The sequence below is a fragment of the Homo sapiens genome, chromosome 7, assembly GCF_000001405.40.
Source record: "Homo sapiens chromosome 7, GRCh38.p14 Primary Assembly".
Classification (NCBI taxonomy): domain Eukaryota; kingdom Metazoa; phylum Chordata; class Mammalia; order Primates; family Hominidae; genus Homo; species Homo sapiens.
In genome coordinates, this window is record NC_000007.14 from 130,331,395 (window position 1) to 130,357,252 (window position 25,858).

The 25,858-nt window shown below is 46.1% G+C and overlaps 1 protein-coding gene, 1 long non-coding RNA gene and 1 other non-coding gene across 25 annotated transcripts in view, besides 4 other annotated features; 2 read left to right on the forward strand and 1 right to left on the reverse strand.

Moving 5' to 3' along the window:
* LOC105375503 (uncharacterized) overlaps positions 1-20,237 on the reverse strand; it is a 32,989-nt gene extending 12,752 nt beyond the window's left edge. For 3 of the 6 annotated variants that reach the window (XR_927968.4, XR_927965.4, XR_927969.4), the window contains exons 1-3: positions 12,435-13,333; positions 7,125-7,195; positions 27-149 (exon numbers count right to left, since the gene is read on the reverse strand). This is a non-coding gene — a long non-coding RNA (uncharacterized LOC105375503). Of the gene's footprint in view, positions 1-26; positions 150-7,124; positions 7,196-11,419; positions 11,720-12,434; positions 13,334-20,134 lie in introns of those variants that run through there. The other 3 variants (XR_927967.4, XR_007060523.1, XR_001745362.2) reach the window with 3 other exon arrangements.
* Positions 13,021-13,124, forward strand: LOC124901837 (small nucleolar RNA U13). Its single transcript, XR_007060673.1, has one exon. It is a non-coding gene; the product is annotated as a small nucleolar RNA U13 (small nucleolar RNA).
* The window catches only part of CPA5 (carboxypeptidase A5), a 29,784-nt gene continuing 17,347 nt past the window's right edge, over positions 13,422-25,858 (forward strand). For 4 of the 18 annotated variants that reach the window (XR_007060171.1, XR_007060172.1, NM_080385.5 and 1 more), the window contains exons 1-5: positions 13,422-13,811; positions 14,445-14,502; positions 14,999-15,207; positions 16,372-16,453; positions 18,581-18,715. Coding sequence is in view for 16 of the 18 variants with exons in the window: in NM_080385.5 (NP_525124.3) it covers positions 15,092-15,207; positions 16,372-16,453; positions 18,581-18,715 (333 nt within the window). In the remaining 2 variants the exon portion in view is untranslated. Of the gene's footprint in view, positions 13,812-14,367; positions 14,516-14,787; positions 14,855-14,998; positions 15,208-16,371; positions 16,454-18,580; positions 18,716-25,858 lie in introns of those variants that run through there. The other 14 variants (XM_005250710.2, XM_047421039.1, NM_001318223.2 and 11 more) reach the window with 12 other exon arrangements.
* Positions 14,614-15,583: an enhancer, noted in NCBI's record as "H3K4me1 hESC enhancer chr7:129985848-129986818 (GRCh37/hg19 assembly coordinates)". NCBI's record gives its function as "activates a minimal SCP1, AML or CMV promoter by ChIP-STARR-seq in primed H9 embryonic stem cells {active_cell/tissue: H9 hESC(primed)}" and the evidence as "EXISTENCE:reporter gene assay evidence [ECO:0000049][PMID:30033119]".
* Positions 19,607-19,656: an enhancer, noted in NCBI's record as "active region_26653". NCBI's record gives its function as "activates an Ori minimal core promoter by ATAC-STARR-seq in GM12878 lymphoblastoid cells {active_cell/tissue: GM12878}" and the evidence as "EXISTENCE:reporter gene assay evidence [ECO:0000049][PMID:35858748]".
* Positions 19,667-20,016: an enhancer, noted in NCBI's record as "active region_26654". NCBI's record gives its function as "activates an Ori minimal core promoter by ATAC-STARR-seq in GM12878 lymphoblastoid cells {active_cell/tissue: GM12878}" and the evidence as "EXISTENCE:reporter gene assay evidence [ECO:0000049][PMID:35858748]".
* Positions 20,854-21,500: an enhancer, noted in NCBI's record as "H3K4me1 hESC enhancer chr7:129992089-129992735 (GRCh37/hg19 assembly coordinates)". NCBI's record gives its function as "activates a minimal SCP1, AML or CMV promoter by ChIP-STARR-seq in primed H9 embryonic stem cells {active_cell/tissue: H9 hESC(primed)}" and the evidence as "EXISTENCE:reporter gene assay evidence [ECO:0000049][PMID:30033119]".

The window sequence follows — 25,858 nt, forward strand, 5'->3', positions numbered from 1 at the left end:
ATCATAAAGAGGTATTGAATGACTACCTGCAGCTGGACCAAGTCCACATCGGATCCCAAGGAAGCCCAGGATATTCTTTCCGCTTAGCTCACTGGCTGCAGCAATCTTCCTCCCTCAGCTCTGAGTACCTCGCCATGGCATTGTTCTTTCTGATGGATGTGAGAAGCACAGAGGTCAGGAAAAGCAAAGACCTTCTGTTCCCATTTCAGCAAATCTGTATTAGAAAACTCAGAGACCCCAGGCCCGGTGGGAAAGGATAACCTGTTTCCTCACTGTGAAGTGGTATTTCTAAAATGTTTCCAGAGGCAGCTGGCGGGTGGACAGGTATTAACTTGGTTAAAGAGACATTAAAGAAGAAGGCACTAGATCTTCCTCCCTCCCTCCTGCGCCAGGGCCACCAATACAATCAGTACTTAACAGGCATGTCTCTGTATGTCCTTATGGGCTCTCTGGAACCTGACTCCTATCTAGGAGTCTTCTGTTTACTTTGGAAAACAAATGAAGGACACATGTAGCTAGAAAGAGACTCATTCAAGGTGGAAAGTGGACATTTTGCTGGGCCACGGAAGGCCTGTTCATGAGCAGTGCTGGCCCTGGAAGAGGCCTTCCCTCTTGCTGCCAGCACTGCAGAGAGATGGGAAAGCCCAGACACCAGCTCTGCGGTCGTGGAGGTCAACTGTATCATAACCTTTGGAAATTAAATCAGGAGATCGGGAGGAGGATGGCCAGAGATGTTTCCCTTACTCCCAATGCAAGAAATAGGAACAACATTGATCAATGCTCTTCTGGGCCGCTCATACTGGAAACGGCTTTTACTCCAGCAATACTAAGATTTTACTTTTTATTTCTCTGATACTTGGATCCAAATACTCTTCCCCAACAGCTACCATTGATACTTGAGCAAGGTAAAGCTCAGAGGGAAGTTGTTGCTTAGGACTTGACGGCCCTGTGTTCTAAATCTTTGTTTTCAACATCCTGACGCATCTCTCAACTTTCTCATGATCTCAATGCCCAGGGTATTTCTGTGGTCCCGGGAAAGGATAGGCCTTACTCTTTATTTATTTATTTATTTATTTATTTATTTATTTATTTATTATACTTTAAGTTCTAGGGTACATGTGCACAACGTGCAGGTTTGTTACATATGTATACATGTGGGCCTTACTCTTATTGCAAGAATCATCTTCCAGAGTCAGGCTACCTTCTTCCCTACATGATACATTCCTGAACATATCTATACATCTATCTATCTATCTATCTATCTATCATCTATCTATCTATCATTCATCTATCTGTATGTATGTATATACATCTATATAAAGCCTTAAGTATGCAAGTCTAGCAGTAGACACAGATTATAATGAGAAGTCTGTTTCCAGTGAGCTAAAATCCTGCTGCTCAAATAGAATGACAATATCAGGCAAAACCAGGGAGCTTGTCAGAAACAGAATCTCTGGCCCTCCTCCAGACCTTATTGCATCAGAATCTGCATTGAACATAATTCCAGGTAATTCACATGCACAGCAAAGCTTGGGAAGCACTGAGCTAAAAAATATATTATTAATTATATCTCACCTCATCAACTTTTAGATAGGTGGTCTCCACCTTGGCTATACATTAAAATCACACAGGGGCTTTTAAAAACTACTGACTCTTGGAGCTTTACCCTAGACCAATGGAAACTGTATCTCTGGGCATTGGTTTTATAAAAATCCGTCCAGGTGGTGCTAACGGACTGCCAAGGTTGAGGACTACCGTTTTAAACTTTATTTCTGGCACCATTTTCCCAATGTTTTATACATCCATTGGGAGACAGCTCTCCTTGGGCCTTTTATATTTCTGCATATCTAGATTATTCCAGATGATCTTTTCAAGGTTGTTAGAATAACAAACAACCTTGGAAGATAGACAATATCTCCCTCTGGAGTGAAGGGCAGATTTCTTTACTGTTCCTTCTAGAGCAAAGGGCAGTTAGGCTCACTGCCTAGTATAAAAAGTTTGGGGACTTCTGGCTTTAGTGCTGACATGTAAAGAGCTTGGAAACTCTTGGAAACTCTTTCAACAAGAAATAAGCTGAATACGCTGAAACTTAATGACTTTTCTTGGACCCATCAGAGAACTGAACTCCCAAGGTACCTGCCACCCCCAAATCTGGAGAGACAGGCCAACCTTCTGAGAGCAGAAGATGTTAAAGCCATAAGCTGGTAAAAACACGTACATGGTAATTTTGATGTAATTGGAGGCTGAGTGTGAACCTGCCTGAGAGTGAGAAACTCCTGGGGGCCTGTAGCCTTAGGGGCTCCTCCAATATGTTTATGGATCTTACCTCTAGGAACTCCACCAGGTTCTCATAATGAAGAACCAAGAAAAATTGTCTGGTGTTTCTGGCAGGGTGGAGGATAGGTAACCATTTTGAAATGCCCAGAGTGTTCTTCATAACAAAGACCTACTCTGCTAGGAGAAGACTTTACCAGAGCCTTATCTACTTGGGGGAAGGGAAATTATCGAAATCCAGTCCCCTCTAATATTCCTATCTCACCCTAGAGAGAGAGGGAAAAGCTAAGAAACACTTGTGAAAGTCACAGCCCAGAGACCTACTCATCTCATAATCATAAGACGATAGAACATTTTCTCCTCCCACATCTTACCACCACACCAAGAGGTATAATGAAACTGGATTAAAGCTGAAAGAACTGGAAGATGCTGACTTTCTCAGAGGAGGAGTACTTAGGGAAGCCAAAAGACAACTGGGGAGAGAAAACCAAAGACCCCTGAGGAATTGGAAGCCTCTGGCACTAATAACTACAGAAAACATTAAGCACAGCCTAACTCCTAGCCAGACTAATATAAAGTCCCACACTGAAAGCCTATTTACCTCAGTTTCTATTAGTCAATATATCATGTCCAGCTTTCAAAAAAAAAATTACAAGGTATGTTAAAAGGCAAAACAAAACACAACCCAAAACCAAAATCAAAAACATTGTCTGTAAATGGGTGTGGTGGCACGTGCCTATAGTCCCAGCTACTCAGCTGGCTGCTGGGGAGGATCGCTTGAGCCCAAGAGTTCGAGGCTGCAGTGAGCTATGATAGTGCCGTTGCGCTCCAGCCTGGGCAACGGGACAAGACTTTGTCTCTGGAGAAACAAAACAAAACAAAGCAAAAGCTGTCTGAAGAGAAAAAGAAACCAAACTTGAACATGATATAGATTCTGGAATTATCACACAGAGAATTAAAAATAACAATGATTAGAGCTGAGTGTGGTGGTTCATGCCTAAGTTCCAGCTACTTGGGAGGCTGAGGCAGGAAGATTGCTTGAGCCCAGGAGTTTGAGTCCAGTCTGGGCAACATAGTGAGACCCTGTCTCTAGAAAAAAAGTAAAATAAATAAAAAGAAAATAACAATGATTAATGTGTTAACTGTTCTAAGGGAAAAGACAGATGAGTAATGTAAGCAGCAGAAAGATGGAAACTCTAAGAAAGAATCAAAGGAAAGTGTTATAAATCAGAAACACTGTAACAGAAACAAAGAATGCCTTTGATGGGCTCATTATTGGTAAACTGGACACAGCCAAGGAAAGAATCAGTGAAATTGAAGGGGGAAAACAAACACTTCTCATATTGAAATGCAAAGGAGAAAAGATGAAAAAACCCAGAAGAAAACACCCAAGAACTGTAGGACGGTTTCAAAAGGTGTAATGTACAAGTAATTGGAATGCCAGAAGGAGAAGAGAGAACAGAGCCAAATAAATATTTGAAGTAATATTCTTGAGGATTTTCCAAAATTAATAGATACCAAACACATATCTAGGAAGTTCAGAGAAAACCAAGAAAGATAAATATCAAGAAACTATACCTAGGCACAACATAATCAAACTGAAAAAAAAAAATCGAAGTCTGGAAAGAGCCAGAGGGAACACTTTACCTATAGAGAACAAGAATAAAAACCGCAGCAGACTTCTTGTCAGAAACTATGCATGCAAGTAGAAAGTGAGGGGAAATATTTAAAGTGGTGAAAGAAAAAAACCCACCAACCTATAATTGTATACCCAGTGACATTATCCTTCAAGAGTGAAGGCTCGGCTGGGTGCAGTGGCTCGCACCTGTAATCCCAACACTTTGGGAGGCTGAGGCAGGAGGATCACCTGAGGTCAGGAGTTTGAGACCAGCCTGGCCAACATGCTGAAACCCTGTCTCTACCAAAAATACAAAAATTAGCTGGGCGGGGTGGTACACGCCTGTAATCCCAGCTACTCAGGAGGCTGAGGCAGGAGATTCGCTTGAACCCAGAAGGTGGAGGTTGCAGTGAGCTGAGATCACGCCACTGCACCGCTGCACCCCAGCCTGGGTGACAGAGCGAGACTCTGCTTCAAAAACAAAACAAAACAAAAGAGTAAAGGATAAATATTTTCTCAGACAGACAAATACTGAGGGAATTCATCACCAGCATATCTGCTCTACAAGAAATGTTAAAAGAAGCATTTCAGTGAGTAGGAAAATAGTAAATCAGTAATTCAGATCTACATAAAGAAAGGGAAGAAGGAATAAATGAAAGTAAAATAAAATCTTATTTTTCTTATTCTTAATTTATCTAAAAGATAACTATTTGTTAAAAGCAATAATAGTAGCAATGTATTGTGTGATTATAACATATGAATAAGTGAAATAAATTTCAGCGATGTCATAAGAGGCAGCGGAAAAAAATTGGGAATACTTTGTTATAAGGTACCTGCACTACACGTGAAATAGTCTAGTGTTATTTCAAAGGGAACTTTGGGCCAGGCGTGGTGGCTCACGCCTGTAATCCCAACACTGGGAGGCTGAGGCGGGCAGGATCACCTAAGGTCAGGAGTTCGTAGACCAGCCTGACCAACATGGAGAAACTCCGTCTCTACTAAAAAATACAAAATTAGCCAGGCATGGTGGCGCATGCCTGTAATCCCAGCTACTCTGGACGCTGAGGCAGGAGAATCGCTTGAACCCAAGAGGCGGAGGTTGCGGTGAGCTGAGATCGTGCCATTGCACTCCAGCCTGGGCAACAAGAGCGCAACCCTATCTCAAAAAAAAAAAAAAAAAGTGAACTTTGATCAAAAAGTGGTAAAACTTTTGCCCACTTTTTCCCAACCAGACATGAGGTTACAGAGGCAGAACCTTGCTCATAGTGGTGCTCAGTAAATAGCCTTTCGCTCCATAATACATAGCTTTCAAGGACAGTGAAATTCTGCAACATCTATCAACGTGAATTTAAATAAATTTTAATTTTAAAAATCAGATTGTGCCATCCAGCACTATGTGAGAGAAGAGGTACTTATAGAAACAAAGGCACGGTGGTGTGCAAGTTTACAAAATAAACTGATGTAAGAACTCTAGGCAGAATTCTTCAGATTTTTTTATCCTGCACTCCTATAATTTTTTAAAAATCTGGCTTGTCACACCCAACATATGTAATTATATATTTATAAATTCTGTACAAATGCCACTGTACTCATATTATATATTTTATAAAACATAAAAATTAAAATAAAAAGGACAGAATAAAAATATAGCTTATAAGTCTTAATAGTTTCTTCCTTTACCCCCTGGTAGGAATGAATGCCTCACTTTGGAAATCACTGGATTTGATTGAAAATGCTTCTAATTCTCGACTCCGACTTACCTTGAGCTGTCTAATAGATCTGAATAATCTCATAAATGAATGCCTGCCTCTTTAAGTAGACCGGATAGACAAACTATGGCCCGCAGATCAAATCTAGCCTCCATAGCCTCCAAGCTAAGAATGGTTTTTACATTTTTAAATGTAAAAAGACTCTTTAGGCTGGGCACAGTGGCTCGTGCCTGTAACCCCAACACTTTGGAAGGCTGAGGTGGGAGATAGCTTGAGCCAGGAGTTCAAGACCAGCTTGGGCAACGTAGCAAAACCCTGTCTCTATGAATTTTTTTTTTTTTTAATTAAAGAAAAAAACAGACTCTTCAGTGAGAACAGTTGCTCTATCTTACCTTCTGGACCCCAAAGCCTAAAATATTTATTTTTTGGCCCTTTCCAGAAAAAAATTTGTTGGCCCCTGGACAGGGAAAGCATGTGGGTCACCTTTACCTTTCCTCTACATGGTGAGGCCTTTGGAAGCTCTGCACAGGGCTGTAAATGTGGCTCTCCAGGCCCAAGGGGCTGGCCTTGGCTGCAGCTGCATCCCTTCCTTGGCCTGTAGGTTACCAACCTACTGTCTCACTGGGAGCAGGCCCTCAGCCTGTGCTCTTGGGCACCTCATGGTGGTCATTAGCTAGGTCCCAGATGACCAGGCATTAGACACCCACCCAGGGAGCCCGCAGCCCCAGCCCACTTCCTCCCAGTATCTCTGAGGTTTGGCAAGTGACATGTCCTGGCCAGCCGTTCCATAGCTCTTGCTGCCCTGTGGCTGGTCGGGGGGTGTCTGGCCTCCATCCAAACACCCAGCTAGTGGGGAAGGGGTGGTGTAGTACAGTTGAGAGGAGGCCAGCTGGGTGCCCGGATGGAGACAGCCAAGTGGCGGAGGGTTGCCCAAGAGTCTATCTTCAGCTGCTGGGCCTACATCTGGGCAGGGGCGTACGTCCTGGGGGAGGGGGAGGCAAGACCTTGGTGTTAGAGGCCTGCATTTGAGGATGACGCCAGGGGAGGTAGGTCCCTGGTTGTGGGGTGTGAGAGTGAGGTCCAGTAACAAAACATGGGGAGCAGCTCAGAGCAAAGGTTTAGGAGCTCTGGGCTGACGGAGGCACAGCTGAGCGGAGCAGGCAAGGGTGAAGGTCCTGGATGTGAAGGATTGTTCCCCTAAGATTTGGGGAGTCATTGGAATGAGTAAATCAACAAATCAGTCAACAAATAGGTCCTGGGCAGTGGCCTGGCTATACAAAGGGTTTCTGGGATGGTGCAAATGAATATGACACAGCCCCAGCCCACGAAGACTTTGTTTTGAGTTTGCAGATGCCTGTAAAGAATTAGAATCTATGGTGTGTGATGGAGGCACAAGGCATGATTAGCTAAACTGGGGAGATGTGGTCAGTAGGCTCAGGTTCCCTGTGGTGGGTGGCCCCAGACTGGGATTTTGCATGAGAAAGTAAATTTCAAACCTCTAATCCAGAGCGGCATTAACCTACCTTTTAGGCCTTCCATTGTTTTCTTGGATTTTTAATATTCCATTTCCTGAAAGCGCCTGCTTGGCATATTCCTGAAAGGTGGGATAAGCCTGTTTTTTTGTTAATTAAATCACATTTTGAGTGCACTAGGGGAGATTTCATTTTAAGAAACAGTGGCAAATCCTCTCAATAATCAAAGAATCCTTTTAGAAAGGGAACGATGATGCTCCTGTTGTTCTTTTTTTAAAGATTACACTCGATGTATTTATTTTCCTAAAACACTCAAAGGGGACTTTTGGAGACTAAAACATAATTTAGTTTGGAAGTTTTGTTTGCAGATGTTGGAGCACCTCATTCGATCTCTGGAGACCCCCAGGGTGGTCCCCAGCCAGACATGGGAATTAATACCTTCAACAAGGAAGGGATTCAGGGCTAGAATGAGATTTCCTGCAATCTCCCCATCACGCTTAGTCGAGTTAACTCCTTCACATCTTACCTAACTCAGCTCAAATGTTACTGTTTGGCTGGGTTTTTTTAGCTTTAATTTTGTGTAATGTGATAAAATATACATAACATAAAATGTACCATTTTGTTTTTAAGTGTAGCGTTCAGTGGCATTAAGTATATCTACACTGCTGTGCAACCATTACCACCACCCATCTCCAGGACTTTTTCCTCTTCCTAAACTGAAACTATATCCTCATTAAATAACTTCCCATTTGCCCATTGGCAACCACCATTCTGCTTGCTGTCTCTATAAGCTGGACTACTCTAGGTATTAAATGCCACTTTTACAACTTCTCTTTAATTTAAAGGGTTACACAGCACATCATATGAAGAGTCAGAGTTCTACAAGACTTGTTATAAAAAGCAACAGAGTCCTGCTCCTCGCTTTCGTGCCAGGTCTTGCTCTCTGGCAATAACCACATTGAGTTCTTCTAGCCTTGATGCTCAACATTCACAAGACTAGGTAAAGTGCTTACATTGCTACTTCTTGATTTTTCAGTTTTGGGCATTTTGGATTGATTCTCACTATAAAAAGTAAATTAACTGCCCCATATTTCCTTTAAAATATGTTTTATTGTGAAGTATATCATACGTACAAGATCCTGTATAAAACTTCAGTGGCTGTTAAAAATAAAATTAACAGCCGGGCGCGGTGGATCACACCTGTAATCCTAGCACTTTGGGAGGCGGAGGCAGGCAGATCACTTGAGGTCAGGAGTTCAAGACCAGCCTAGCCAACATGGTGAAACCCCATCTCTACTAAAAATACAAAATTAGCCAGGTGTGGTGGCAGGTGCCTGTAATCCCAGCTACTAGGAGGCTGAGGCAGGAGAATCGCTTGAACTTGGGAGGCAGAGGTTGCAGTGAGCCAAGATCACACCACTGCACTCCAGCCTGGGTGATGGAGTGAGATTCTGTCTCCAAAAAAAAAAAAAAAATTAAATTAACACTCTTACCCTATCATTCAGCTTAAGAACAAGAATGTAACATTATTCGAGTAGCCTGCACATGCCCCTCAAATGTACTCCCTTTCCTTTTCTAGACAAAACCAGTAATCATGCTAATAATTTTCTTTCTTTTCCTTATAATTACCGCATATGGACATATTCCTAAACAATATACTGTTTTGTGGATGTATATAAATGGAAACACAGTGCGTTCTGACTTGGCTTCTTTCGCTCAACATTACATTTTTTGAGGTTCAACCATGTGGATGCATGGCGCTGTAGCTGACTCCTTTTCTCTGCTCTTTGTATTCTGTTGTATGACGTCTCCATTCATTCAGCCAATCTTGTGCATATGTTCTGGTGACATGTGCAAGAGTTTCTCTCTTTTTTTTTTTTTTTTTTTTTTTGAGACAGGGTCTCACTCTGTCACCCAGGCTGGAGTACAGTAGTGCGATGACAGCTCACTGCAGCCTCTACCTCCCAGGTGCAGGTCATCCTCCCACCTCAGCCTCCGAAGTAGCTGGGACCACAGGAGCACACCGTCACACCTGGCTAATTTTAACTTTTTGTAGAGATGGGGTCTCACTCTGTCACCCAGGTTGGAGCACAGTGGCGTGATGACATTGAGTTTTCTTATTTAAGAATAGAGTATACTGTTAGATTCGTTTGGAATGTTAGCATTTTCCAATAGTTTTATAATTGTCTCCAGGAAGTATGGAGGCAAAAGCAACTCCATCTTAGATGCTAATCTGCCATGTTGACTTCTGGTTGCCCCCCGATCGGGGAAGGCCTTGGGATTTCCAGTTCGTTGTTCCTTGAGTGGAGTATGTGCTTGCCATGAATCCTGCCCTGGGGTTGGTACAGGCTTGATGCTATCACCCTTCAAAGGTCCTACACATCCCTTTGGAGTTATCCTGTCCCTATGGTGTATGGGCCATGGGTCTCGGCGGTAATGGTGCAGGAATCCACCAGCTTGTCTCACCAACACCTGAGACACAGACATGGCTTCTGCTTGTAAGTCCCTATTAAGTGTTTCTTTCTAAAAAACAGATTTGTCAGCCTCTTTCTTGGACCTCTCAGCTTCCTAAGACTTTGGGGGCAGGTTTGCATATACCTGCTTACTTCAGAACAGGGAGGATTGCACATTGCTTGTTAGAATTATTCCTGATTTTTTTTTTAAGAAGGGGTGTCCCAAGTAGCTGAGACCACAGGTGCATGCCACCATGCCTGGCTAACTTATTTCTATTTTTTTGTAGGGACAGGGTCTCCCTATGTTGCCTGGGCTGGTCTTGAACTGCTGTCCTCAAGTGATCGTCCCTCCTTGGCCTCCCAAATTGTTGGGATTACAGGCACGAGACACTGCACGTGGCTATATGCTTTCTTTTATTAGTATTTACTTGGAATATCTTTTTTCCATCCTTGACTTTGAGTCTCTCTTTCTTCTTATGTTTTAAGAGTGCCTCTTGTGAAACCATATAGCTAGTATTTTTTTCTTTTTTTTTTTGAGACAGTCTTGCTCTGTCGCCCAGATTGGAGTGCCGTGGCATGATCTTGGCTCACTGCAACCCCCGCCTCCTGGGTTCAAGCAATTCTCCCACCTCAGCCTCCCGAGTAGCTGGGATGACTCCCACCACCATGCCCAGCTAATTTTTGTATTTTTAGTGGAGTTTGAAAGTTATGTGCACTGGGCCTATTCTTCTAGTTGTTGCTCTAGCTATTTGAACACGCATATTTACCAAAATCTAAAAAATTATCAATATCTCTCCTTTCTCCCAATAATTCCAGGACCTTAAAGACACTTTAACTCTGATGACCCACTTGCAGATAACATGCTATTCTTGTCCAGGACTTAAAACTTTGGTGTTAGATGATGCCGGGGAAAATATTTCCTGAGATTTCATAACCACAAGTAAGCCCCCGACATGAATTTGTGGTTTAAGTTTATGCTAACTATGCAGTCCCCCAAAAAAATCTTAAATTATTTAATTTAGAGTGGTCGCAGGTTGGTAGTGTCCCCAGCAACTTACAGAAGTAAACGCAAATCTTTTCTGGAAGAACCCACCTTCAACCCAGGCCTCAAGGGATTCTCACAGATAAATGTTCAAGGAAAATGATTGGTTCACAGGTATGTGGCATGAGAGAAAATGCACCATGAGTGAGAACCAGCGGAAAGAATAGGCAGCAGAAACAGACTTAAAACATCTAGGAATTGTAATTATCTAACACAGAATATAAAATATCTGTCTTATACGTTTAAAGAAATAAGAAATTCTAAAATAGATAAGAAATTCAAGTCATTTGGGCTTGAATCAGAAAAAAAGAATCAAATAGAACTTCCAAAAATGAAAAATGAATATCATATTGCATTGACTATAAAACAGGATCAATTTTATAAGATGCACCATAATTTTATGTGCCACCTTAGCATTGCAAGATGCCACCAATTGTAAGATGTATCCTGATTTTAGCAGTGTTAAAAATGTGAAAAAAATAGGTTGCAGAATCAATGAACCGTAGCAATTGAAAGGTAAAACTTCACAGATCAATTAAATTGCAGATTAAACTCAGCCAATGAAGAATCAGGTAACTGGAATAAAGACAAAAATATTTTTTACTAATAAATTATCCAGAATGTAGCCCAGAGAGACCACACAATGGAAATATAGCAGAATGCTTATGAGTCTTGGGGGCTAGAATGAGGAGGTCCAGTCAAAAGTTCCAGATGAAGGTAATAGAGAGGAAAAGGGGCAATGTTTAAAAATATAATGGCTGAGAAATTTGGAAAATAATAGAAAGCGAGTGACACTCAGATACAGGAATTCAAATGATTCTCAAGCAAGACAAAACAAAAAAAATCCATACCTGGACTTACGATGATAAAACTGTGGAACATCAAAAGCAAAGAGAAGCTCTTCAAAGAAACCAGGAACAAAGAGAGGTCACCTTCTGAAGAACAGTAAGTCAACAAACATTACCTTTTAGCAGCAAAAATGGAAGCCAGAAGACTGTGGGATAATATTTTCAATGTGTTGAGAGGAAAACAGTAATCAACTTGGAATTTCTATCCCAAAAAACCCTTTCAAGAATGAGAGCAAAATAATTCTTTCTTTCTTTCTTTCTTTTTCTCTTTCTTTCTTTCTTTCTTCTTCTTTCTTTCTTTCTTCCTTCCTTCCTTCTTCTTTCTTCTTTTCTTTCTTTTTCTTTCCTTCTTTCTTCTCTTTCTTTCTTTCTTTCTTTCTCTTTTTTCTTTCTTCTTTCTTTATTCTTTTTTTTCCTTTCTTTCTCTTTCCCTCTCTCCTTTCTTTTTTTTTCTGTCTGTCCTTCCTTCCTTCCTTCCTTCCTCGCTCCCTCCCTCTCTCCCTCCCTCCCTCTCTTCCTCCCTCCCTCCCTTCCTTATTTCTTTTCTTTTTCTTTTTTTCTTTTTTTTTTTTTTGAGATAGGTTTTTGTTCTGTCACCCAGGCTGGAGTATGGTTCTCTGCAGCCTCAAAGTCCTGGGCTCAGTTGATCTGCTTGCTTGCTTCCCGAGTAGCTAGGACTACAGATGCGTGCCTCACCATGCCCAGCTAATTTTATTTTATTTTTGCAGAGATAGGGTCTCCCTGACTTGCCCAGGCTGGTCTCGGACTCCTGGGCTCAAGCGAACTCCTGGGCTCCTCCTGCCTTGGCCTCCCAAAGCACTGGGATTACAGATGTGAGCTGCCATACCTGGCCAAAAATTTTCAAATAAGTAAAAACAGAAACCTTAACTAAAGGAAGGTTTGAAAAGATAGATTTGAAGCAGAGGGAAGATGATTCTAGATACATGGTACATGCATCCAGTAGGAAAATCAAGAACACCAGCATTCTGAGAAGTTCTCTGAGGCAAAACTTGCTTACCACTTGGGTGTCTGTCTGGCTTTTCCTTCTTTTTGGGATCTATAGATTCTTATTTTTGTGCCAACCCAGCAATGGCTTTAGAAAGTTGTTACTAAAAATATTTTCTTCTGCATTTGAGTTCTTTCATTTGGGCAAGATTGCTTAGGTATCTAACCCACCCCACCTGCAGGAAATAAAAGTCCTCCAAAAAAATTTCTAATTTAGGGAAACTCTCCTTCAGTCTATGTGGAGCCCATGTTCCCCGTCCTCATGGTACAATGTGCCTTTCCCTTGTAACACAAACACCATCTATAGTTTTACACTTATCTGGAGTGAGATGGGCTACCATTATGTCTTGGGTTTACCAATTATCTTCATGCTATTTAAATTAATTTTCTACTTACGCCTTTAGAAATGTAAGGGCCAGATATGTGTTGCTTTCTATTTTGTTTCCAGACTTTAGCAAGTGCCTGGAACATAGCAGGTATTCAGAGGACATTTACTGAGTAAATGATTAGGTGAGTAATTAATTATAAGTGAAAAGCCAAAATGAGGTATTAGGTCAAGCATAGCTATGTGTCTCCGCTTCAAATCCAGCCATAAGCTGATAATTGCAGTTCATAAGTATGATAATTGGGTGCTCACGCATGCGTGTGTGAGATGTGTCACCCTCAAACCTTGTTATGACGTCAGCACATTACCCGTCTAACATGAACTTAGAAGAAGCAAAACCAAAAACAAATCCAGCCATTGGAGATGGTGCTTTCAGGGTTGGTGAATTCCCAGAGAACTCTGCTGTCCAATATGGTAGCCATTAGCCACATGTGGCTATTTAAATTTTATTTAAATTAATTAAAGTTAAATACAACTCCAAAATCAATATTCAACCACAATAGCCACATTTCAAGAGGTTAGTGGCTATCCTACTGGGGGGTGTGGACATAGAATATTTCCATTATCACAGAAAGTTCTATTGGAAGCTATGTCATAGAATTCTCAAAACTTCCTAACTGCTTCTCTCTCTCTCTTTTACTCTTATTCTTTCTCTCTCACTCTCTCTCTTTTCCCACCCTTAAGCCAAGTACAGGGATAGTTGTCTCATCATTGGTGGCTTAAAATGATGTTTTTGAACAAGAAGACGCCCCATGGGTACTTTTGGTGACTAGCACTATCTCTGTTTTTTTCCTTTTAAATTCCTGAGCTATTGTTTAGCAGTACACCCTTTTATCTCCATTGCTACTGAAGCTGAATGTTACTTGGGTGGAAAGCATAACTGCTTTCTTTTCTATGTCCTTAAACCCTTTGATAATGTTACTGTTTGAGAGTCCCTGAAGCCAGGATACTAGAAGAGTCTGGCTTGTCTGAACAGCTGAACTACGAAATAATGGAGTAGGGCAGGTGGGTGGGGGAGCAGGGCGTTCTGTCGATAAACGAGCTCCCTTCTTTGCACACATAGCCAGTTAATCGGCCATTCTGAGATAGTTTGGATGGGGAGGGGGAGCTTCTGAGAATCGCCAGTGACAGTTAAGTGGCCTATTGTTGACGTCCTCTGCTGAACGACTTGGTTGGATTCAGCTTCTGCCTTACCCCCACCCCCTGTGGATTTTCTGTTAGATTCATCATTTGCCATTCAGGCATCATCTTTCACTTTCTCCTTCCAACATGACTGCTTTGTGTGCTGGCCCCTGCTTTACTCCTGCTATTCCCAAACTATAAAGGGAACTGTGTGGGGCTTCAGCAGGACTGAGAAATTGACTCTGCTGTCTGTTGAGAACTCTAATAATGACTGCGGTGACCTTCATGTCTAGCAGAAAACCCACTGTCTGTGCTAGCACAATGATGACCACCTGAAGACAGAGAAAAGGGAATCTTGATTGAATTCCTTCTCATACAATATATAGTTATTTCCTTTGTTCTCCTCTCCATTCTCTTCTCTTCCCCTTCTCCCCATCGCCACTGGAGGACTGATCTCAAATGCAGCTGTGACTAAAAGTTAATGCCTTTTGAATAATAATACATTGCATTTTGCAGGCTTTACCAAGCCAATTCACTCAAGTTGTCTCATCTATACCCCTTCAAACCCTGTGAGGTAGGGAGGGGAGGTATGATTAACCCCATTTGATGGATGAGTAAACTGAGATTTAGAGATTAGGGCAGCTGCCCCAGATATTTTAGACGGGAAGTGAGCACCCAGTCTCTGTCTCTAAGTCCAGCGGTGTTTCAATGGCATCCACACCTTATGTGTAAGGAGGATATGGCCCAGGGAAAGCATGAGTGGGCTAGGCGGAGAAGAAGAGCGAAAGAGAAGATGCTGTAGAGGAGGGAGGAAAGGAGGGGTATCCCAGGGCTGCTGGCTACTTTGGTCTTTCTCCAGAGATGGAAGCTTTGATGCTCACAAGGGGCTGCCCTGGCAAACCTCCTGAGAGAAAAGAAAAGCTAAGGCCTGTCTTCCTCCTTCTCTCTTCCCTCTCCCCTTCCCAGGAGAGGATGTGCTGGGTTGGGGAGGGGCAGCCCTAGCTCTCCCAAGGCCTGGCATGTGGGAGCCACATGCTGGGTGCCCCAGACAGCCTAATGCTCTTTCTCAGGCTGGGCTTTCCAGCCTCTAGGTGCTGTGCTGTCCTGAGGCCTGGGCCATGGTGCCCAAGGAAAGCCCCTGAAGCTCACCAGGAGGAAGAAGCATGCAGGGCACCCCTGGAGGCGGGACGCGCCCTGGGCCATCCCCCGTGGACAGGCGGACACTCCTGGTCTTCAGCTTTATCCTGGCAGCAGCTTTGGGCCAAATGAATTTCACAGGGTGAGTGGCTGCTCCACAGTGGGAGGGAGGACTGGCTGGGAGGAGGGGACTGGGTGTCCCAGCAGGAGGTGGCTGCCCTGCTGGTGCCTGATCAAGGCGGAGAGTCAGGATGTGGGTTCCTGTCCTGAACCCACTTCCAGCTCCACAGCCTCCCACTTTCATGCTCCGGGGCTGGCTCGTTGGTGGTCCTCCCCAAATCCAGAGTTCTTAATCCAGAGTCCAGGAGGAAGCCCCCGGGGCTCCAAGAATCCCCTGAAACCACATGCAACAGTTTTCCTATACAACAGGGGCTTCTTCGGGGAGGATGCATTCATAGCTTTCCTCCGATTCTCAGAGAAGTTGTAGCCCCCACAAGACTACATACCCCTACCAAAAATGGATGTGGGTGTCGTTCTCCTTCGAATGACAGGAAGTTCTAGTATTACACGCCAGGCCCTCTGTGGATGTACTTTGAGCCTCTCCAAGGTCCACAGGTGGATGCCCCACAGTGCTCCACAGTAGAGAAGAGGAGACACAGCGAGCGTAGAGATGGGGTTCCTCACCCACGGTCTCAGAGCCAGCCTGTGAGGGCACCAACCCCATCCCAGGTGTCGCACCCCAGAGCCCACACCACAGGCCTCTTGGATACGCAACCTCCACTCACCTCCATCGGGAAGGAAAGGAGCTCAGCTTCCTCCATGTCAGGTGGGGTGAGGTTGTCTGATCTCACCTTCCGGGCGTCGAGACAGACCATGGCCTTGGGGCCCCCTCGCGAAGAGCCCTTGGGGCCACACTGGTCCCCCCAGCCCCTGTGTCTATTCCTTTCTCCCCTTCATTCCTTTCATTTTACACATCGCCCCCCTCCCCATTCCTTTCCCTTCCTTCTTCCCCTGGCTTGGCCTTCAGTCCAGCAGTAGCACTGACAGGCTTTATTTAGCCCCCGGGGTGGTCTGTCCTTGGGGCTGGAGAGCCCACTGGCTCTAGACTGAAGGACCATGTGCTTCTCAGAGCTGCCTGCGAGTCCTGCCTGCTCAGGGCTCCTTCAGCCTCCACTCATGCGGTGCCTCCTGGCCTCCCCGCCTGGCCCTCAGCTGGGCCTCTGCTCCACTCTGCCCCTTCCAAGTGACACAGCCTTCCAGGGATCCTTCTCCGCAGCTTCCTCCGCCCCTCCCTGTGTTTTTCTAGGGACCAGGTTCTTCGAGTCCTGGCCAAAGATGAGAAGCAGCTTTCACTTCTCGGGGATCTGGAGGGCCTGAAACCCCAGAAGGTGAGGACTCCTCAGGCTTGAGGACAACCCCACCCCCTCCTCAGTGGCTCACACATTTAGCTCCTTGTCCTGCCCCCCTTTATCCCAAACCTGCCCTCCTGAGGTCCCTGCAAAGAGCACAGACCTGTGGGAAATCACACGTGGCTCCACTTCAGGAAAAATCAGGAACACCTGCCCAGAAATTTGGGCTGCCTTTTTAGTCTGTGTCTCTTCTAGCCACCCACTCTCTCCTGGATAGGGAGCTGCTACATGACCCATCAGGGCACCAATCTCCAAACAGCAGGAATTTCCTAAAGCCACACGGGTGGGAGGGCACAATGTCTCTGGGTGGGATGCCACGTAGCATGGAGGTTGGATACATTGGCCTCCCAAGTGAAACGGCTTAGCTTGGCAAACCTGTATTTTATCTGGGTTCGTCCCCGTCAGCCTGAGCATCATTCCTGAGAACATTTGTCCTCTGCAGGTTTTCACAATGGAAAACATTTTCTTTAACTTTGACTATTACATAGAAGGGTTTTGTTAGGGGGCCATTGGAACTACCAGATATTCCTGGATGTGGTCAAAGCCCTTGCTCCTACTTGTCTGAGTGTCCCGTCGACTGGGACTCATGATGCTTTATGATCATTCTCTCCATTTTACTAATTGAAAAATAGGCATCGCAAAAGGCTGACCTAGGGACCCAGATTAGGCCTCTCCTACTTCTGCGGGGATGGGAACAATGATGCCTCCCTTTCCTGACCAGGGTTCTTGTCTGTGTTCATGTCCCAGATGATGAGCGGCCTCACCTTGAGGACTCTTTAGGGCTCTCTGGATCCTGACGAAGTTGCAATGAGTATGAGTGAGGTGTGGAGGCAACAGGACTTGGAATTAGGGAAAGAACCTCAGTGCCTTGGGGATTTTGTTTGTCCCAGTCTTTCCACTCAGCCTTAGGGTTTCATTACGGAACTGGGGCCCGTTTAGGTGTACAGTAGTCCCTCCTGATTGGCAGTCAACCAAAAACATTAAACGGAAAATTCCAGAAAGAAACAACTCATAAGTTTTAAATTGCAAGCTGTTCTGAGTAGTGTGATGAAGTCTCGCACCTGCACGCTGTCCACACTCCCCTCCGCGAGTCACTTAGTGGCCATCTCGGTCATCAGACCGACTGTCGCGGTGTTGCAGTGCTTCTGTTCGTCTAACCCTTATTCGACTTAATAATGGCCCCAAAGCGCAAGAGTAGTGATGCTGGCATTTGTTATAATTGCTCTATTTTATTATTAAGCTATTGTTTTTAATCTTTAACTGTGCCTAATTTATAAGTTAGGGCCAGGTGTGGTGGCTCATGCCTGCAATCCCAGCACTTTGGGAGACCAAGGTGGGTGGATCATCTGAGGTCGGGAGTTCAAGACCAGCCTGGCCAACATGGTGAAACCCCTGTCTCTACTAAAAATACAAAAATTAGCTGGGTGTGGTGGCGTGCACCTGTAGTTCCAGCTACTCAGGAGGCTGAGGTAGGAGAATGGCATGAACCCGGGAGGCAAATATTGCGGTGAGCTGAGATCATGCCATTGCACCCCAGCCTGGGCGAAACTCCATCTCAAAAAAAAAATTTATAAGTTAAACTTTATTATAGGTCTGTCAAAAACATAGAAAGAGTGAATAAAATCTAGTATTTAATAGCACAACAGGGTGACTATTGTCAATAATAATTTAATTGTATATTTTAAAATAACTAAAAGAGTGTACTTGGAGTACTTGGATTGTCTGTAACACAAAGAATACGTGCTTGAGTGATAGATACCTCATTTGCCCTGATGTGATCATTACACATTGTATACCTGTATCAAAATATCCCATATACCCCAGAAATATATACACCTACTACGTACCCACAAAAATTAAAAATTACAAAAAAACCTGTATCCCAAATCTGTTTGTATAGGAAAGAGCATAGTCTAGGGTTCAGTACTATCTGCTGTTTCAGGCATCCGCTGAGGGGCTTTGGGACATCACACCCCCGTCCCCATCTCCTGCGTAGAAAGAGGGTCTCTACTGGCTGAGAGATTCTCTGGCTCTCTGTGGTCACCTACAGGATTGTGTGGAAGGACATGGAGTAATGCAGCTCTCTCTCTTTCCTTGGTGAACAAGGTGGACTTCTGGCGTGGCCCAGCCAGGCCCAGCCTCCCTGTGGATATGAGAGTTCCTTTCTCTGAACTGAAAGACATCAAAGCTTATCTGGAGTCTCATGGACTTGCTTACAGCATCATGATAAAGGACATCCAGGTGAAGCCCTGCCCCAGCTGGGACCCTGCCTTCCGCCTTCCTTTCTGGTTGGGGCCCAACATGGAGGAGATGTTCTCGGGGCTAAAAGTGGACATGTGGTTTCTGGGTCTCCATCAGCGTGTTTGTGAACATGCTGTGGAAGGAAGTGAGCCGCACGCTTCTCAGAATCTGAAGCTAGGACAGGATTCATGGGGGAAGCACTCACAGTGTGGGAGTGGAGAGGACGCCTGTGATGAGTCCTCCTGGGGAGGGATTTGCAGCTAATAAACAGCAAAGGTGCGGGGAGAAGGGAGACAGGAGGATGTAGCTGGGGTCTTCCCCAGGCACCGTGGGAAGGTGCCTCTGGATAGCTTCTTCCTTTGCTTATCTGACCACTCCCTCCTGTTCCCGCTGTGTCTCAGCCATCCAATGCCTGGGGGAACGGCTTTACTTCAGAGGATTGGGAAATGGTGAAAGAGCATTGTGTGGTTCAGAGCACTGCTGTGGTTCACTTCCCCCAACCTCCACCGCTTGGCTCTCCGCACGGGGCATCCCCCCAGGCAGCATTCTCCCAGAGGAACCGCTTTGGGAGAAGCAGCTACAGACCTGCTCTTGGGTAGGACAAAGGTAGCCTTCATCCTGGACACCCCAGTCTCCCTGCTGCTTTCCCTGCATCTTTTCTGAACGTCATGAAATTCTATTTCAATTGTTCTATTTTCCAGTATATCCTAAAGAGCCCCTGAAACGTGCTGGTAGCACAGCCTCCTTCCTAGAGATCTTTGTGGGTACCACTCATTGGTTAAGCCTCCCCGGCTGCATCTTTCTGCAGCTGCTTGCTGCTGGCCGTGTACCTGTGGAACTGTATCCATAAAGATTCATTCCCAACCTTGTTGTATGGCGCTAATCTCCCCTAAGGGCTCCGACTGTGGGAACACAGAGCCTCCCGGAGCGCACACACTTGACACCGTATGTCAGGGGATCAACGCATCAGGCAGCATTCCGTTCCCATGCGAGCACAGGGCTGGGGAACTTTGGTCCTTTCAAAGACCTTTATCCCTCATCAGGCACATCTGTTTCCCGCTCAACGTGTGGGGGTGGGATATTTCTCTAATGAAATCCCCCACAAACAAAAATGGGGAAACTCCCGCAGACAAAAGAGGCTACCACATCAAAAGAAATAGAACTGAATTCTCATTTTTAGCCAGGCCTCTGTTTTGAAGTTTCCATTTCCCTGGTTCAGCCCCACCCTGGGAACTCCGCAGCATTTGGCAAACAGACACACAGAGGTCTCTAAAAACTTTCTGTTGATTTCTGCACATCAGGGACGGCCCCAGAGTCCCCTCTGAGCCTCCCCCACTGGATTTAGCCTGTCCTCTCCCCACATCCGCAGCCCCGAGTCCCTCTAGGGCTTTGCCCTCCCTCTCAGGAAAATGCTCTGACCTCTTAACCTTGATCCAGCCAGGCAGGATTTTCACCAACTCGCTCTTCCTGCAGGGATCAAGCACTCGCTGCCATACTTGAGATCATATTTTGGCTTAGAGGGAGCTGGGGGTGGGGTGGCTGATGTGTTGATGTGTTGAGGGATTGATGATGGGGAGGGGTCCAGGAGGAGGGAAGCTGAGATTTGCTAACAGGACGGGAAGAGCTTTGCACCCCTTGGGTTGCTGGCGTCCAGTCTTGTATTTCAGATACAGATGCACGGGCCCGATTGTCTCCCTGTCCTCTGGATCCCCTCAGCCAAGTACTTGGCAATGTCCCCTGCAGGGTGGGCCCTCTGCGGTTGTCTGCTGAATGACTTGCTCGGTTGGGGAGTTCAGGACAGGCACAACCTTATTCACATGTGGGTCTTTGTTCCTCTGGCCCCCTCCCCTCAGCCAAGGTTCAGCTCCACGCTCCGTGTCAATCTTCCTACCCCAGTACCTACCATAGGACCTGCTGCTTCGTTGAGGCTTGATAAATGTCAGTGGAACTAATAGACATTCATTAGGAGGAGGAAAGGAAAGAGGAGTGGTCGTGTTTGGTGGCTAGGACCAGGCTGGAAAACCTCGATGCTGGTTTTTACTTTGGCCAGAGGCAGGGGAGATTTTGGAATCTCTCCCTCCCTCTGCCCTGTGATCAGAGGGATGCTTGAGAAACATGAGGCAGGGCCATTCATTCCACTCCCAGACACAGAGAGCCCTACTGTGTGCTGTGCATCGGGCAAGGGGCTGGAAACACAGAGATAAAAAACTTGGCCCTGTATCCAGGACAGCTGGAGGGTCGCGGGGGCCGGGGATGGAGGGGGGTAAATCGGTGGTTACAATGGAGTGGATGAGCGACTGATGGAGTGAGGGCGGTTGCTATGGGAGCGCATACAAGAGGCACTGCACGCCGTGCTTCTGAGAAGGCGGTAATTACGGTGCGCTGAAGAGCAGGTGAGGGGGGGCTGGCCAGAGGAAGGGGGGCCCCCACCCCGATTGGTGATGAAGCCAGACCCCATCACAAAGAGTGCCCTCCACCATGTGACGAGGTCAGGATTTTATCCTGACAACTAGGGGGGAGTCATGGGAGGTGCTTTCACATGATCAGATTTGCATTTCAGAAACACCACCCTGACAGTGACAGTGTTGAGTTGGGGACAGGACCAGGGAGAGACTGACAGGCAGGAGGGTGGTGAGGAAATTGCAGTGGGCCAGGCAAGAAATTATCTGATTCCGAGCGAGCTCTATTTGCATTTAATTTTTCTTCACCTCGTTCTTTTCAGCCCTTTGGTTTTTTTTTTTATTTTTTCCCTAGGATGAGTCACCATGGAAAAACTTCACTTGAGCAATCAGCTCTGTGGCTTTTAATGGCTTTTTTTCTGATTACAAAATTAATAAATATTCATGTTAGATAATTTGGAAAATAGTGGAAAGCACAAGGAGAAAACAAAAATCACCCATACTCTGACCATCTAGAGCAGAATACAATTGAGTGTAAATACTGCGTTGCCAATTTCCCTCGCCCTAGTGGATCACTCTCATCACCATGCAAATACAGTTATTTCTCCCATTTAAAAAAACCCTCTCTTGATCCCTTCCCTCTCCCCTCCAGCCATCACCCCATTTTTATGCTTCCCCATAGACTGAAACTCCTGAAAATACTGACTCTCCCTGTCATCTCCATCCCTGTCCGCCAGCAGGCTGCCCACCCCCTCACTTCACCAAAGCTTCCCTCGACAATGTCACACGCAACTTCCAGATCCAACCCGATGGCCGACTCTCAATGTTCCTCTTCCAACAGCACAACTGGTCACTCTCTCCTTCCTGGAGCCTGTCTCTTCCCCTGGCATCCAGGACTTCTGTGTTCTGTCTCCAGCCAGCACCTCCTCTCCTGGATCCAACCGCCTACTCAGTGTTTCCACCTGGGGGTGCAATGGGCATCTCCAACTTTCCAGGTCCAGACCAAGCTCCCCTGGCCCTTCATCGGTGCCTCCACAGCCCTCTTTATCTCAGGAAATGGCAACACCATCCTTCCAGTCACTCAGACCAGAAGCTGGGAGCCATTCTTGACCCCTTCCTCAAACTCCCCATCAACAACAGATTTATCGCTGCCTTCAGAATGGATCTTAGCACATCCCACACCACCCCCGAGGGCCCATGCGCCATCTCGTCCCTCACCTGGGTTCTTCCAGTTGCTTTCTAACTGCTCTCCCCCATTCTCCACCTTGATTCCTTATTACCTAATCTCAAAACAGCAGCCAGAAGAGTCCTTTAAAACTATTGCAAATTCAAGCATGTTGTTCCTCTGCTTAAAACCCAACTAATTTGGAGTAGAAGCCAAAGCCCTTGCAATGGTCATAAGGCTTTTCATTTTATTGTATTTATTTATTTTGAGACAAGATCTCACTCTGTTGTCTAGGCTTAAGTGCAGTGGCACGATCATGGCTCACTGCAGCCTCGAACTCCCAGGCTCACTCCATCCTCTCGCCTCAGCCTTCTAAGTACAGGCCCTGGGACTACAGGCCCATGTCACCATACCCAGCTAATTTTTGTATTTTTTGTAGAGATGGGGTCTGATTATGTTGCCCAGGCTGCTCTTGAACTCCTGGGCTCAGGCAACCCGCCAACCTCGAGCTCCCAAAGTGCTGAAATTACAGGTGTGAGCCACCACGCCAGACTGCTCATCTTATTTTAAATTGTACCCTTCTTCCCCACTTCTCCAACTTCCTCTTTCTTTCCCATTTCACTCTTGTTGACATTTACCTTTTTCTCATTGCTTATATAATTTAATTCTTTACTTCTTTAAATTATTATCTTGCTAGCTGAAGAGTACAGTTTTTATTTGTTTATTTGTTTTCTTTTTGAGACAGGGTCTCACTCCCTCACCCAGGCTGGAGTACAGTGGCATGATCTCGGCTCACTGCAGCCTCCACCTCCCAGGCTCAAGCAATTCTCATGCCTCAGCCTCCCGAGTAGCTTGGATTACAGGCACACACCACCACCCCTGGCCAATTTTTGTATTATTATTATTAATTTTTTTTTTAAAGTAGAGACAGGGTTTCACCATGTTGGCCAGGCTGGTCCCAAACTCCTGGCCTCAAGTGATCCACCTGCCTCAGCCTCCCAAAGTGCAGGGATCATAGGCGTGAACCACGAGAGGTTTTTTTGTTTGTTTGTTTTTGTTTTTTAAGATGGGGTTTTGTTATATTGCCCAGGGTGGAGTAAAGTGGCTATTCACAGGCACAGTCATAGCGTACTGCAGCCTTGAACGCCTGGGCTCAAGAGATCCTCCTGCCTCAGCCTCCCGAATGGCTGGGACTGCAGGCGTGCACCACCATGCCTGGCTTGAATAGCAGAGTTTTAAAGGTAGAAATGCTGTTGGCTGGTCTGTGGGTGAGTGGCAGCTCCAGAGAGGAGAAGAAGACAACAGGAAAGATTGCAGGAGAAGCCAGGGAAGACAGCAGCAGTGATGGGCAAGACCCTAAGAGAGATGGAGGCTGCCTGCATCATGGGGGTAGGGACAGAAGAAGAGGACCCAGGCCCCTCTGTTGGGCCCCATGAAAGTCAGGTGCTGACTGACTCCCCCAGATGACCATTAATGGGGGCTTTCTGCCCTCCAAGTCCTACAGAAGCTATCCTACCTCTGGAGAAACCCAGACTTCCTGGTCATGCCTTGTAATGCTCCATCACAGAGCCCTGGAGTCACCCCAAAGTTATTATCACCCTCCTTATCATTGTCACACTCCTCCTCATCATCATAGCTAACATTCACTAGCATTTACTACATGCCTGGCAAAAGTCTAAGCATTTAGCATGTATTAACCCTTCTAATCCTCATGAGAACATTGGTGTGTGTGTGTGTGTGTGTGTGTTTGTGTGATGGAGTCTTGCTCTGTCGCCCAGGCTGGAGTGCAGTGGCACAATCGCCCCTAACTGCAACCTCCGCCTCCTGGGTTCAAGCAATTCTCCTGCCTCAGTTTCCCAAGTAGCTGGGCTTACAGGCGCGCGCCACCACGCCTGGCTGATTTTTGTATTTTTAGTAGAGACAGGGTTTTGCCATGTTGGCCAGGCCAGTCTTGAACTCCGGAGGCCTCAAGTGATCCATCTGCCTTGGCATCCCAAAGTGCTGGGATTACAGGTGTCAGCCACTGCGCCTGGCTCTCATGAGAACATTTTAAAGTATGTGATAAAGTATGTGATAACATGACCTCCATTTTACAATGGGGAAACTGAGGCACAGAGATGTTAGTAATTTGATGGAGTTGGTGGCAGGATCAGGGTTTAACCTGAGCTCCCGCACCCTCAGACTCCACTCTCAAGGCATCTGTCCCCTCAGTGGTCATCACTGTTGTCTGTGTGGCACTTTAACTTTGCCTTTTAGACAGGGAAGCCTTGTGGTTTGGCCTTGACCTCTGAGGGGGTCCATTCTGAAAACTTCAGATCAGCAGCCACCCCCCACATCCAGTGCCACAGGACTGGAGTTGCTACTGGCCACATAGCTGCTACTGCAGATGTTAGACCTGGAAGAGAAGGCCAGGAACGTGGGAGGAGAGGCAGCGGCTGCTGTCCCAGAGCCCCCAACCCACTCTGTTTCCATGAGCTGCGTCCATTTTGCATCTGTGGCTGGAGTTCGGCTGTGAGAGATCTGCTCTCCTCCGCCTCAGCTTCAGCACTGGGGCCCTGCTACCTCCTCCCCTGCCCAACCCGGGAGGACTGTTCTTCCCTTAGGGCCCCCATCCTTCCTTGACTCATCGTAAATTAATTCACACTGAGGTATTACTTTCCCTGTCAGGTTATGGCTTCCAGGGAGGCAGATGGCTTACTTCTGAGTTGGTTGGTTTCTTTGTTTTGTTGTTTTTTCCTGAGAAGCCTGACAGGGCTGTCATTAGGCATTCCTCAGCCTGTGGCCTGACCGCATTCTTCCGTCACCCATCCCCTTCCCCCAGCCCCAGGAATGGAGCAAACGCTGGTGCATTTTCCAGGCCAAGGCAGATTCCTGTTCCTGGAAGTGGGGCCAGCTGTGAGGGCTGAGAATTCCCAGTTTGAAAGAGGGTGTCACCTCCATTCACAAGGCTGTGAGGGTGTCTGGAAAGTTATTTGCAGTTTGGTGCTGACTTCCCATTTGCCTCCAAGCTCTTGTGTGGAACAAAGGACAGCCTCCTGGGTCCTGTCTTCCTGTGGGTGTCCCAGGCTGTGTAGGGAAAATTGAGTCTTCTAGTCCTTTCTTTTTCCGATTTCTCCTCCCTGTCCTCCACTTTCACCCCAACTTCAGGCTTCCACCAGATCCTTGGAGACCCTTTGCCTTGTCCTCACAGCTGGCAGGCTGCTGTCTTCCTTGCAGCTGCTCGTCACAGCTGATGGCACCAGGCACACAGTGGCTGGCACACATTGGTCATGGTAGGCTGTTGAGATTTGGGTCAGCTTCCTGGGAAGAAGACAAATTCCTTTTGTTAGAGCTTCCCAGAAGTGTTTGTGAAGGGCCAGAGAGGACCGGGGCTCCTCCGGCCACATCTAACTTACCCAGCAATCCCAGCTTTGCCCCTGGCCAGCTAGTGCAGCTGGAAAACATCGCAACTGTAATTGCCTCGCATGGAGTTGGTGCTCAAAAATAAAGTGAGCCCCAAACATCAATTTCCAGTCCCATTTTTAAATCTATGAACCTGAACGTTGTAAGCAAGCCAACTAGGCCTCGGGGATGAGTGAG